The sequence below is a fragment of the Homo sapiens genome, chromosome 1, assembly GCF_000001405.40.
Source record: "Homo sapiens chromosome 1, GRCh38.p14 Primary Assembly".
NCBI lineage: Eukaryota > Metazoa > Chordata > Mammalia > Primates > Hominidae > Homo > Homo sapiens.
This window is the reverse complement of record NC_000001.11, coordinates 184,373,310-184,385,332: the sequence shown is the minus strand read 5'-3', so window position 1 is coordinate 184,385,332 and position 12,023 is coordinate 184,373,310. Positions and strand designations below refer to the sequence as shown.

Below are 12,023 nucleotides of genomic sequence, written 5' to 3'. Positions count from 1 at the left end.
AAGTAAAAAGAAAATAAAACGAGGTGGCAATGCATGTAAAACACTTTGCATAGTGCCTGACACATGGGTGAGAACTCAATAAATAGAAGCTATTGTTTCAGACTTGATTATTTTAAACTCAAATTTGGTAGAATTTTATTCTCTTTCCATTCCTTCTGAAAAGTTAGGGAGGAGAATGGACACAGCTGATGGATTTATTCAAATGTAGTCCACTCTTCCCTTGGGTTTTTACGCCCTGCCTGAAACTTTTGCCTGTGGTAAAATGAAATAAATACATAACTGAGGGGTGTGTGTGTGTGTGTGTGTGTGTGTGTGTGTGTGTGTGTACATCCATATAAAAGGATCTTTGAGCACAATAAGTTTTGTTCTTCCCCCTCCTTTTTCCTTCTCTCATCTACATAGACCACCCTGAATAGACAGAGCTCTGTGATGTTGACCTGTGTACCCCTTCAGGGCTCAGACAGTGCTTGGTACTGTAGATTTCTTGAGGGCAAGGCTATGGGGTTTGCTTGGCTTGATATCCTTAGAACTAACCGAAGGCCACAGAAGAAGCACTTCATACATGTGTAGATGAAAGAACATCTATACTACGAACTTTTAAAGCTAGGTTTAGATTACTCAAGATAATACAGGTCCATTGTGGAAATTTTCAACATTTGAAAAAAGCTAAGTACAAAGAAAATGAAAATCATAATTCCACCATCTAGAGAAAAGCATTCAATAAGTGCCTCAAGTTTGTCTGTTTTCCCTTCATTTATTTCATCATCATTCAATCAACAAACATTTATTAAGTACCTAGTTAGAGATCAGACAATTTACCAATACAAGAAAAGATTGTATATGTGTTGTAAGTGTTGTTTGTTTCTCATAGAAACTGCTCCACAGAAGCAACATTTTATACAGTAGTAAGGTTCTCAGGATAGCCTACAAAAGCCCATGGAAGGAATCCCACAATTAAATGACCATGCTGACCAGAGACAATCCAGATTTTGTGGGACTTGAAGCACTTAAAATTTGGGGAGCCACCTTCAAGATTAAAAAAGACAAAAGTACTAAAACCCCTTAGGAGAGGCTAATGTAAATGAAGGTCGTGAAACAATTTGGGGAGCTACCTTCAATGTAAGAAAGACAAAAGTACAAAAACCCCTTGATTGGGCTCATGTAAATGAAGGTCTAAGCCCCATTTGCTTTTGAGTAAACCTACTCTCTCTGGTGCTGGAATTTCTATAGAAATTAACTGCTTTGATAAACATTGCTTCAATGTGAAATGTTCCTCATTTTACCTGGGATCCCCGGGACACCTCTGCTCCCCTCCCCCACAAATTTAGAAGAGGTGAGAGGGAGACTCCCATCACCACCAACACACACTTCCCTGCACCTGGCCACAGCAGGGGCAGTGGGACTGGGGACTTCTATAGGGGCTGCAGAAGGAAAGGAGGGAGAGAAGAACAAAATGGGAGGGGAGGGGACAGACAGGTTGGCCACTAAGGTGCTGGAGAGGCACATCGGGCATTGGTATGCACACCAACTCACTAACTGTGCAACAGGAGTGGCCACAAATTGCAAATCTGCTTGGTGTGCACAAGCTAAATCTACTAGACATTTTATCACAGAATAATCTCTGTAGCTATTTATAATTAGTAAGATGACTATAAGCATATTTACATAAAAAGAATGAAGAACATGATTTTTTTCCCCCTGGTTGCATCACCCTTCCACACCACCAGAATCTCTGGATTCCATATCTTCAAACACTCTAAATATGATTTTCCAAAAATTTAATATTCTTTTTGCCCAGAAAAGTTACATTTTAATCTTCAAAGGCACCACTCTCATTATCAATTTTCTCTTAGTCCTAAAGCTTTAGCTGATAAAGACTTGCATCTGTAGGACTGTACATAACATAATGGTTTGAATTATTTCTTTCTTCTTTTTCTTTTAAATATGATATGCCCTTCCATGGGCTTTTGTAGGCCAAACTGAATGTTTGAAGCCCTAACCCTCAATGTGTTGGTATTAGAATGTGAGGTCTTTAGGAGGCAATTGGAGTTTGACAATTTGAGAGTGGGGTCCTCATGATAGGATTAGTGCATTGATAAGAAAAGCCAGACAGCTTGTTCCCTCCCACCCGCATATGAGAACACAGCAAGAAGACAGCCATCTAAGCCAGGAAGAGGGGTTCTACCAAGAACCTGAGCAGGCTGGCATCACGATCTTGGACTTTAAGCCTCCAGACCTGTGAGAAATGAATATCTTTTGTTTAAACCGTGCAGTCTATGGTGTTTCGTTACAGCAGCCTGAACCCACCAAGACAATAGGTTCCCTTTATCATTGATTGTCAAGGAAAATATATGATTGTTTAAAAGATAGTAAAAGCAACACACCACTCTCCTATAACTTCTCATCTAAATCTAAATGAATTCATTTTATGTGGTTTATTTTTTAAAGGTTTTCCCATAAAGTTAATTTTTCTGAATAATCAAGTTCAAAAGTAGCTTTGGCAGAGACATTCAAAAATAAGTGACCCTAAGCTGAAGACTACTCTGAAATGTGCTTTCTTTCCATTTGCTCCATGCAATCACAGCTAACACTGGTTGTCTGCTGTATGTCAAGCATGGCATCATGTAATTCATAATACAAACTAACTCATCTTCCTGACAACACACTCAGATAGATGCTAATATTATCATCATTCCCATGCAGATGTGGAAACAGAGGCACGGAGGGGTGAAGTCATGAGTGCAAGGTAAAGTAGTTGATTTTCATTAGTCAGATGCCAGAGCCCATGTGTTTAACTGTATTTATTTATTTATTTATTTATTTATTTATTTATTTATTTTTGAGACAGAGTCTCACTCTGTTGCCCAGGGTGGAGTGCAGTGGCGCGATCTCGGCTCACTGCAGCCTCCGCCTCCTGGGTTCACACCACTCTCCTGCCTCAGCCTCCCGAGTAGCTGGGACTACAGACGCCCGCCACTATGCCAGGCTAATTTTTTTGTATTTTTTAAGTAGAGACGGGGTTTCACCATGTTAGCCAGGATGGTCTTGATATCCTGACCTCATGATCTGCCCATCTCAGCCTCCCAAAGTGCTAGGATTACAGGCGTGAGCCACTGCACCCAGCCTTAACTGTTAAGAAGTATGTTTTCTCTTCAATCTCCTCTGTTTTTCTGCCTCAGTTTTACTCGTCTTTCAAGACCAGGCTCAAACCCTAACTCCTAAGTGAGTGATCTCAGCTTCTGAGTTTCTGAACTTTTGAAGTATCCAGGATCTTCTACAGCCTTACACTGTTAGGGATCTTCCACATCTTTTACATTAGCTCCACCAGGCTTGATTTTGTGTGTGTGTGTGTGTGTGTGTGTGTGTGTGTGTGTGTGTGTGTGTGGTGGGGGGTGTTTAAAATCTTCCTTTGGGGATACCACAGCACACACACAAGTAAAGGACCCAATAAGCAGCTGTGAATGGAGGGCTGTCTATGCATTTTTATTTTATAATGGTGCCACTTATGGTGACGCAGCTCCTTCTGGATGGTTCCAGGCTAAATCAGAGCAGAGTTTAAAGTCAGTGCTAACAACTTGCTAATGGTTCTAATTGGTCTTTCAATGATGTGTGAATTACTCTGAGTAACCAGCTTTTCCAGACCTTAGATAGCTCTTACTTTCTTGTTTATATCTGTTATCTGTTTATTTTCTTCTTGGCTTTCTCCTTAGGGGTTTTTTTGGTTTGTTTTTTGTTTTGTTTTGTTTTGTTTTGTTTTGTTTTGAGATGGAGTCTCTGTCACCAGGCTGGAGTGCAGTGGCGCGATCTTGGCTCACCGCAACCTGTGCCTCTTGGGTTCAAGCAATTCTCCTGCCTCAGCCTCCTGAGTAGCTGGGACTACAGGCATGCGCCACCATACCCAGCTCCTTTTTCTATTTTTAGTAGAGATGGGGCTTCGCCATGTTGGCCAGGAGGTCTTGATCTCTTGACCTTGTGATCCTCTTGCCTCAGCCTCCGACAGTGCTGGGATTACAGGCGTGAGCCACTGCGCCTGGCCTGTATTCTCTTTTATGTCGTTTTCAAGAGTTGGGTAGATAGAAGATGAGAACATGGAACATTTTCCCTTGAAGTAAGGAGTGTAAGAGCCCATCACCAGAGTAAGACTCAAAATGAGGCAGAGGGAAGGTAAATCCAGATACTATTAAGCGGTCAGCAGAGCCTCTCAAGGTTGCCGGCTTCCCCCCATTTTTGCTTTCTGGCCTTTGTTTCACCCAGATATTGAAGTTAGCATTCCAGTGTAGAGCTCTTTTCTCCCAGGCTACTTGACAGCCCCACCACTGTGGGTATAACTGATGAATCCCCAGACGCTCAAGTCATCCGGCCCTTACTGATACCTGCTTAGAGTATTATTCCGCTGCCAGCTTATACATGCTAATAGTATTGTTATTTCACACACTGGCCCTGTCTCTCCAATCAACTATAAGCTCTATGAAAACAGGAGACCTTGTTGTTCTCACAGGGCTCAGGCTCAATATACCTTTGGAAGTTGATGGATCAATCAATTAAGTTACTATGTGCATTCCTCTTAGTGGAGATAGAAAGCAAATATTGACATCCAGAAATTTCAGCAACCATGACACAGCAAGAAGGATGTGGCTAAAAGGAAATAGAGAGTGAGAAGAAACAAAAAAACAAAACCACATTATTTTTCATCTCTTTCTCAGCTTTACCTCTTTGAAAATGTCCTCTCCTTCCCCCATCCTTTTCAGAAAGTGAAACAGTATTGAAAAGATAAACACAGGCTGGGTGTGGTGGCTCACGCCTGTAATCTCAGCACTTTGGGAGGCTGAGGTGGATGGATTGCTTGAGCTCAGGAGTTTAAGATCAGCCTGAGCAATATAGGGAGACTTCATCTCTATAAAAAATTTAAAAATTAGCCAGGTGTGGTGGCATGCACCTACCTGTAGTCCTAGCTACTTGGGAGGCTGAGTTGGAGGATTGTTTGAGCCTTGGAGGTCAAGACTACAGTGAGCCATGTTCGAGCCACTGCATTAGAGCCCGGGCAACAGAGTGAGACTCCATCTCAAATAATAAATAAATAGATAAATAGATAGATAGATAAACACAGGGAGTAAAGTTGCAGTTTTCTTCATCATAATGAAGCAAGAACCCTTAAAGCAGCTAGTAAGTCTTTAGCATGGATTACACTAGTTTTCAAAAGCTATACTGGTTCTGATACTATGGTCTGATTTCAGATGCAATTGTTGAGAATCAAGTTATCTTAAGAGTGAATGGAAAATATTGCTACCATAGAGATATAAGCAAACTATTATTTCAAGATTGTATTATAAAAAGGAGAAAGGAAGGGATTGGAAAGCCCCAAAAGAAGAATTTCAAATAGTTTTTGGACATTAGTGTATTAAGCAGTTTTCTAATCTTTACTGCCTGTTTAAACTGATTTAAGCCTCCCAACAGTGCTATGAAGATGTTATTATTATTATCTCTATTTTCCAGATATGAAATCCAAGGAACAGCAAGGTTAAGTAAGTAGAGCAAAGCCAAGGGTGCCCAGCTATAAGTGGCAGAGCTGGGATTTGCTCTTAAGCCTGGTACTAAACCACTACCCCAAACTGATGGTGGCCTCTAAACCTTTGTGACTCTGGGTATAGAAGTGAACAATTTATCTCCTGGAATCTGCTGAATGATAGATATCTGCAGTATACTTTTCACCTTCTCCTGCGTGGGTGTAGTCTTTATGACATGTGAGGGGCCAGGACAAGGAAAAGGGGATTAACGTTCTCAGACCATGCCACCTACTGGCTAACAGAAGCTCCCCCTCGCTTCTCCTAGCCAGAAGACTATTAACCTCATGAGGTAGGAGCCTATAACAGAGCAAAGAGGGCTAGAAGGTTTAGGACAGGATAGTATTTCCATGCATCAGCACTCAGTTTAATTAAATCAGTCCTTGGTCCAAAATAACGCTGTTGATGAAGAACGTCATTTCACCTTATTCGCAGTGCCAAATGTTAATGGAAAGGAATGTAAACACTTAAAATGCTTGCACCAATTTGAAATGATGGTTTTATCAGCTTCCTCCTTTCCTCCTTGTTTAGCTCTGCAACCCTAGCCCAGACCTCAGTCTCTCTATCCTGGATTCTTAACCAGTTGTCTTGACATTAGGCTCTGTGGTTGTGCATCATCCTTGCTGCTAAAGCCCTGTCTCTAAAGCATAGATCTGTTCCAGCTTAAAAGTCCCAGCTCCTGGAAGAGTTTAAAATGAAGCCTAAACTTTTCCATCATGCATGCAAAACCTTCCATAAATTGGCTCCTGCCTACTTTTTCAGACAGATCCCTGGTTCCAAACACTAACTGGACAAATAGCCCAATCACCTGGCTGCCTTGCTGGTTCCCATCCATATTCTGCTGTTTTCTACCCCTTCACCCTTGCACTTATCCTTCCCTCTGCGTAGACTACTCAAACCCCTACACAATTCAGGAGCTGCCTCTCAGCCAATCTCACTCTTTCCCTGACACTCATTAGCTCTCTGGCCATGGGCAAGCCACCTTGACCTCTCTGATGGTCTTCATCTGCAACAAAGAGAACATATTATGTAGACGGAGAATTTGAAATAAAGACCTGGTACTCTGCACACTTACAGAACAGATACAGGTGTTTTGTAAATGGCTATCATGTTAACCCTTGTTCCTTGAGATCTGGCTTAAATGCTGTTTGTTCTGAGAAGCTTTCCAAAATTTCCCTTGTTAGAATGGAGCTCTTCCCCTCTTCATCTCTTGTTAAAGTTTCGAGGTTTTTTGAAAACCTCAGAAATTTGGTTTATTCATTATAATTCTGACTAATACACAGCAGATATGTATTTTGTAAATTACACAATTCAGTGGTGTTTAATATACTTACATGACTGTGCAACCATCACCACCATCTAATTTTGGGACATTCCTATCACTCCAAAGCATAGAATAGCTCCCATTTCTCTGCATCCTCACAATTTTATTGCCTGACTTTTTTTTTTTTTTTTTTTGAGACCGAGTTTCACTCTGTCACCCAGGCTGGAGTGCAGTGGCATGATCTTCGCTCACTACAACTTCTGCCTCCCAGGTTCAGGCAATTCTCAGCCTCCCGAGTAGCTGGGACTATAGGGCATGCCACCCTGCCAGGCTAATTTTTGTATTTTTAGTAGAGATGGAGTTTCACCATGTTGGCCAGGCTGGTCCCGAACCACCGACCTCAGGTGATCTGCCCGCCTCGGCCTCCCAAAGTGCTGGGATTACAGGCGTGAGCCTCTGTGCCTGGCCTGACTTTTTTATTCCAGCTATCCTAGTGGATGTGAAATGGTAGCTCTTTATAGTTTTCAAATACATTTCCCTAATAACGAATCATGTTGAGCATTTTTTTAATGTGCTGTCCTGTGGAAGTTTACAATTTTACGATGGCAGTTGCTACAGCCAGTACTCAGTTACCCTTTGCATGTCCTACAATTCTTTGCTCAAAGTTTTACAAATTGTGGGGCTCCAAATGTGTTTATTGAATGAGTTATTTACTCCTAATATCACCCATTAGGTATCCTGACATGAAATGACTACAAGGGAGAAGAGAGAGAATAAAGAAGGTACAAAGAAAAAAATTGAGCAAAATTCAAAGAATATGTTGCATACCATTCTGAGATTATCCGTTGTATGTTTTTATTGTTTGTTTGTTTGTTTGGTTGGTTTTTTTTTTTTGAGTCGGGGTCTCACTCTGTTGCCCAGGCTGGGGTGCAGTGGTGCAATCATGGCTCATTGCAGCCTCAAACTCCTGGGCTTAAGCAATCCTTCCACTTCAGCCTCCTGAGTAGCTAGAACTACAGGCGCATGCCACCACAGCCAACTAAGTTTTTTAAAAATATTTTTGTAGAGATGGGGGTCTTGTTATGTTGCTCAGGCTGTAATTATATTTAATATGTTTCATTTCAGCTATTAAAAATGTCCTAGTATTTCTACCAACTGATGCCTATTCATTGTACTTTTCTTCCCTTAATTACTTGGGCAGATTCAATAAAGAGGTATTATTTTAAACTGAAAACTTTTTAGTTTAAAATGAGAAAAAAGGAATTAGACCAGGAAAAGTAATCTTCAACTCATGATGGTAATTGGAACACAAAGGCTTAACTCGCCCATGTTCCCTCAAAATCCACTCTTAAAGGAATTAAAACAATAGGGGGACATTTGTGACCATCCTAGAAACTCAATTGAGGTGCTACCACATTCCAAAGCAATCCACAAAATATGTATTAGATACTCTCTTTCAATGAAGTGCAATGCATTTGAAAGAAAAGAAGGAAAACTCTCAATTCACCAAATGCAAAAGAAAGACCCAAAGAGCCAGAGAAGGAGGTTTGCAGCAGAATCTTCCTGTAACTGTGGCTAGAGGGGCTGGAGCTACTATAACCAGGGAGGGGGGAATAGGTACTTACTAAATCCGTTTGGAAGTGTACCAGACAGCAAAGCTCAGAATTCAGATCCCAAGGCAGTGCCAGGCCCTGTCACCATGGGAGAACTCCTGGGGGAGAAGGCCTGGTCCAGCTATGCAACATCTCCTTGGAGCTGCTACTCAGTAGAGGTCTCCCGGTCGGCTAGGGCTGCTTGCCTCCTTAGAGACCCATGTTTGAGCTTATCTGATATGAACTGGACCCTCTTTCAGCCCTAAAGAATGTACATGGTGTTTCAATTAGGCTTTTTTTTTTTAATTGTGAGGAATAGAGGCTTAATCATACTGGCTTGAGTCAGAGGGACCAGAAAGAATTACCGTAATTACTCTCTGCAGCATCACGGGAAGCAGGGTCCTTCTTGAAATTCAAAAACAGAAACCACAATGGCCAGGCCTCATGGACACCAACGCATAGGAACCTTGGCAGCCACCACCCAGCACTTCTGTTACTCCATGCTGTGATTCCATACAGCTCCCACCAGTCTGTCCCACTAGAAAGAACTGTAATGCTGGTGAGTAAGGATTATATTATTATTGGGGAGACATCAAAAATACCCTAATTTGGCTGGGTGCAGTGGCTCACACCTGTAATCCCAGCACTTTGGGAGGTCGAGGCAAGTGGGTCACCTAAGGTTAGGAGTTTGAGACCAGCCTGCCTAACGTGGTGAAACCCAGTCTCTACCAAAAATACAAAAATTAGCCAGGCCTCATGGTGCATGCCTGTAATCCCAGTTACTTGGGAGGCTGAGGCAGGAGAATCGCTTAACCCCAGAGGTGTAGGTTGAGTGAACCGAGATTGTGCCATCGCACTCCAGTCTGGACAACAAGAGTGAAACTCTGTCTCAGACAAAAAAAAAAAAAAAAAAAGCCAAAATCCTAATTTATAAAAATGTACACCATTCACAAGTTTAAATATTTTAAAATAGTCAAACTTTACTTTGCAACATACCACATAACATAACAGTTCACCGTGACTGAGACCCACTATACTTAGCAAAAGAGCAATGTCCATATATTTTCCAAAGTAGACAAATATCTAGGCCATGTTCTCTGATTACATTGCAATAAAACTGGAAATGAATAACAAAAGGATTTTTAAAACCCACAGCAATTTTTAAAACATTATCCTTGTGCAAGATGAAAATTCAAATAAATAGGAAAGGATAGATTATGCCATAGTGTTGGGAACAACTGGCAATATTTTGTAAAATAAGAAAATTAGCTGCCTACCTTCACTAATATATAAAAATAAATTCCAGATGGATAACATATTGAATATGAAAAGTAAATCCACTTTTGTTTTCCTTTCAGTAGAAGAAAAAACATAAGGAAATTTGTATATAATCTTGAAATAGGCAAGGCTTACCTAAGCAGAAACCATAAATGAAAAGATTGCTAGTTTTGCATACATAAAACAATTATATGTCAGAAAAACATAATAAACAAAAATGGAAAATAAATGACCCACTGGACTGACATTCGTAATATATTTGATAGATAAATGATTAGTTCACTTAATATGTAAAGAGTCCTAGGCCGGGCGTAGTGGCTCACGCCTGTAATCCCAGCACTTTGGGAGGCTGAGGTGAGAGGATATCTTGAGGCCAGGAGTTCGAGAGCAGCCTGGGCAACATGGTGAAACCCTGTCTCTACTAAAAATAGAAAAAGTAGCTGGGCATGGTGGTGCACACCTGTAGTCCCAGCTACTGTGGTAGCTGAGGCACAAGAATCACTTGAGCCCTAGAGGCAGAAGTTGCGATGGGCTGAGATCACGCCACTGCACTCCAGCCTGGGTGACAGAGTGAGACTCTGTCTCAAAACAAACAAACAGAAAGAGTCCTATAAGTCCAGAAAAAAACAGCAATTCAATAGAAAACTGGTCAATCAAGGATATGAAGAAATAATTTACAAAAGAGGAAATATAAATTATTAATAAAATAAATGAAAAGTTCAATGTTACTAGTAATAAAAGGAAATACACTGAAAATATGAGGCCATTTTCTGTCTATTCAATTGACAAAGATTTTTTTAAAGTAGTTCTCTAGAGTTGTGGAAGGTTTAGAAAAAGAGGCACTCTTACCCCACTGATAAAGTAATTTATCACTATGTTCAAAATTAGAAGTTGTACATCCTTTGTCCTAGCAATTATTAGCCTTCTAAGAATTTACCATGAGAAAATAATCAGAGATGTATAATAATATATGTTAAGAAGGTTGTTTTTTTTTTTTGACAGTGTCTTGCTCTGTTACCCAGGCTGGAGTGCGGTGGTGAGATGACAGCTTACTGCAGCCTAGAATCCAAGAGACTCTCCTGCCTCAGCAATTTTTTTTTTTTTTTTTGAGACGTAGTTTCACTCTTGTCTCCCATGCTGGAGTGCAATGGCACAATCTCAGCTCACTGCAACCTCCACCTCCTGAGTTCAAGCAATTCTCCCACCTCAGCCTCCTGAGTAGCTATGATTACAGGCGCCCGCCACCCCGCCCGGCTAATTTTTGTATTTTTAGTAGAGACGGGGTTTCACCATGTTGGCCAGGCTGGTCTTGAACTCCTGACCTCAGTTGATCCACCCACCTTGGCCTCCCAAAGTGCTGGGATTATAGGCGTGAGCCACCGCACCCGGCCTGCCTCAGCTTCTTGAGTAGCTGGGACTACAGGTGTGTGCCACTATGCCCAGCTAATTTTTGTATTTTTAGTAGAGATGAGGTCTCGCTATGTTGGTCAGTCTGGTCTCAAACTCCTGGCCTCAAGTGATCTGCCTGCTGCAGCCTCCCAAAGTGCTGGGATTATAGGCATGAGCCACTATGCCCAGCCTGTTAAGGAATTTTTAATGATATGGGGAAATGTTTATGATACATTATACTACAAAAGAATATGTAAAATTGTATCTATACTATGATCAAGTTAAAATAGATACAAGTGTGCTTTGGAAAAATAAAATGTTAATGATAAGTTTTATGTGGTAGGATTTGGGGTGATTTCTCTTTAAAATACATTTTCTCTAAATTTCAAAGTTTCTATAAAGAGTACATTTTACTTTAGTATAGACAGAAAAAAAACCAGTTATTGAAAAAGGAGTTGATGCCTTTGAGAATATTTCCCTGAAAATAGTTAAAGAAGTATAGCTGTTGGAATTGGAAGTGACTTTTAAGATTTTTAGTTCAAACCCCTATTCTGCTCGCTGTAAACTCATTTAGCACTTCAACGTATACTATAATTAATATATTTTGGAGTTACTCTTTTTTCTTTAGGTACATATATATTTCTTTATAGTTTTCAGAGGGGAGCCATGCAAATAAATGAAGGATGAACCATAAGACCTAGGTGGGCAGGTAAAGATACTGGTATCCTAAGGATGAGAGAAAGTGGTGGCCACTTTCAGTCTTTGCTCTTTTGCAGGGAATATTCTCATGCGTTTTCTAGTTTGACCACTGGATACCATAGATGGCTCCTGCAGCTGCTGAGAATGCATTGGCTGACCTCCAACTAGGGAGAACACACAGGACCCAGGGCCCCAGGTTACTGTGCCCTGAAACCCGTTGCTGTGCGTCTGCAGAGGCCA

General features: G+C 41.0%; 1 annotated feature.

Annotated features, from left to right (window-relative positions):
• Nucleotides 3,247-3,963: an enhancer, noted in NCBI's record as "NANOG hESC enhancer chr1:184350504-184351220 (GRCh37/hg19 assembly coordinates)". NCBI's record gives its function as "activates a minimal SCP1, AML or CMV promoter by ChIP-STARR-seq in naive H9 embryonic stem cells {active_cell/tissue: H9 hESC(naive)}" and the evidence as "EXISTENCE:reporter gene assay evidence [ECO:0000049][PMID:30033119]".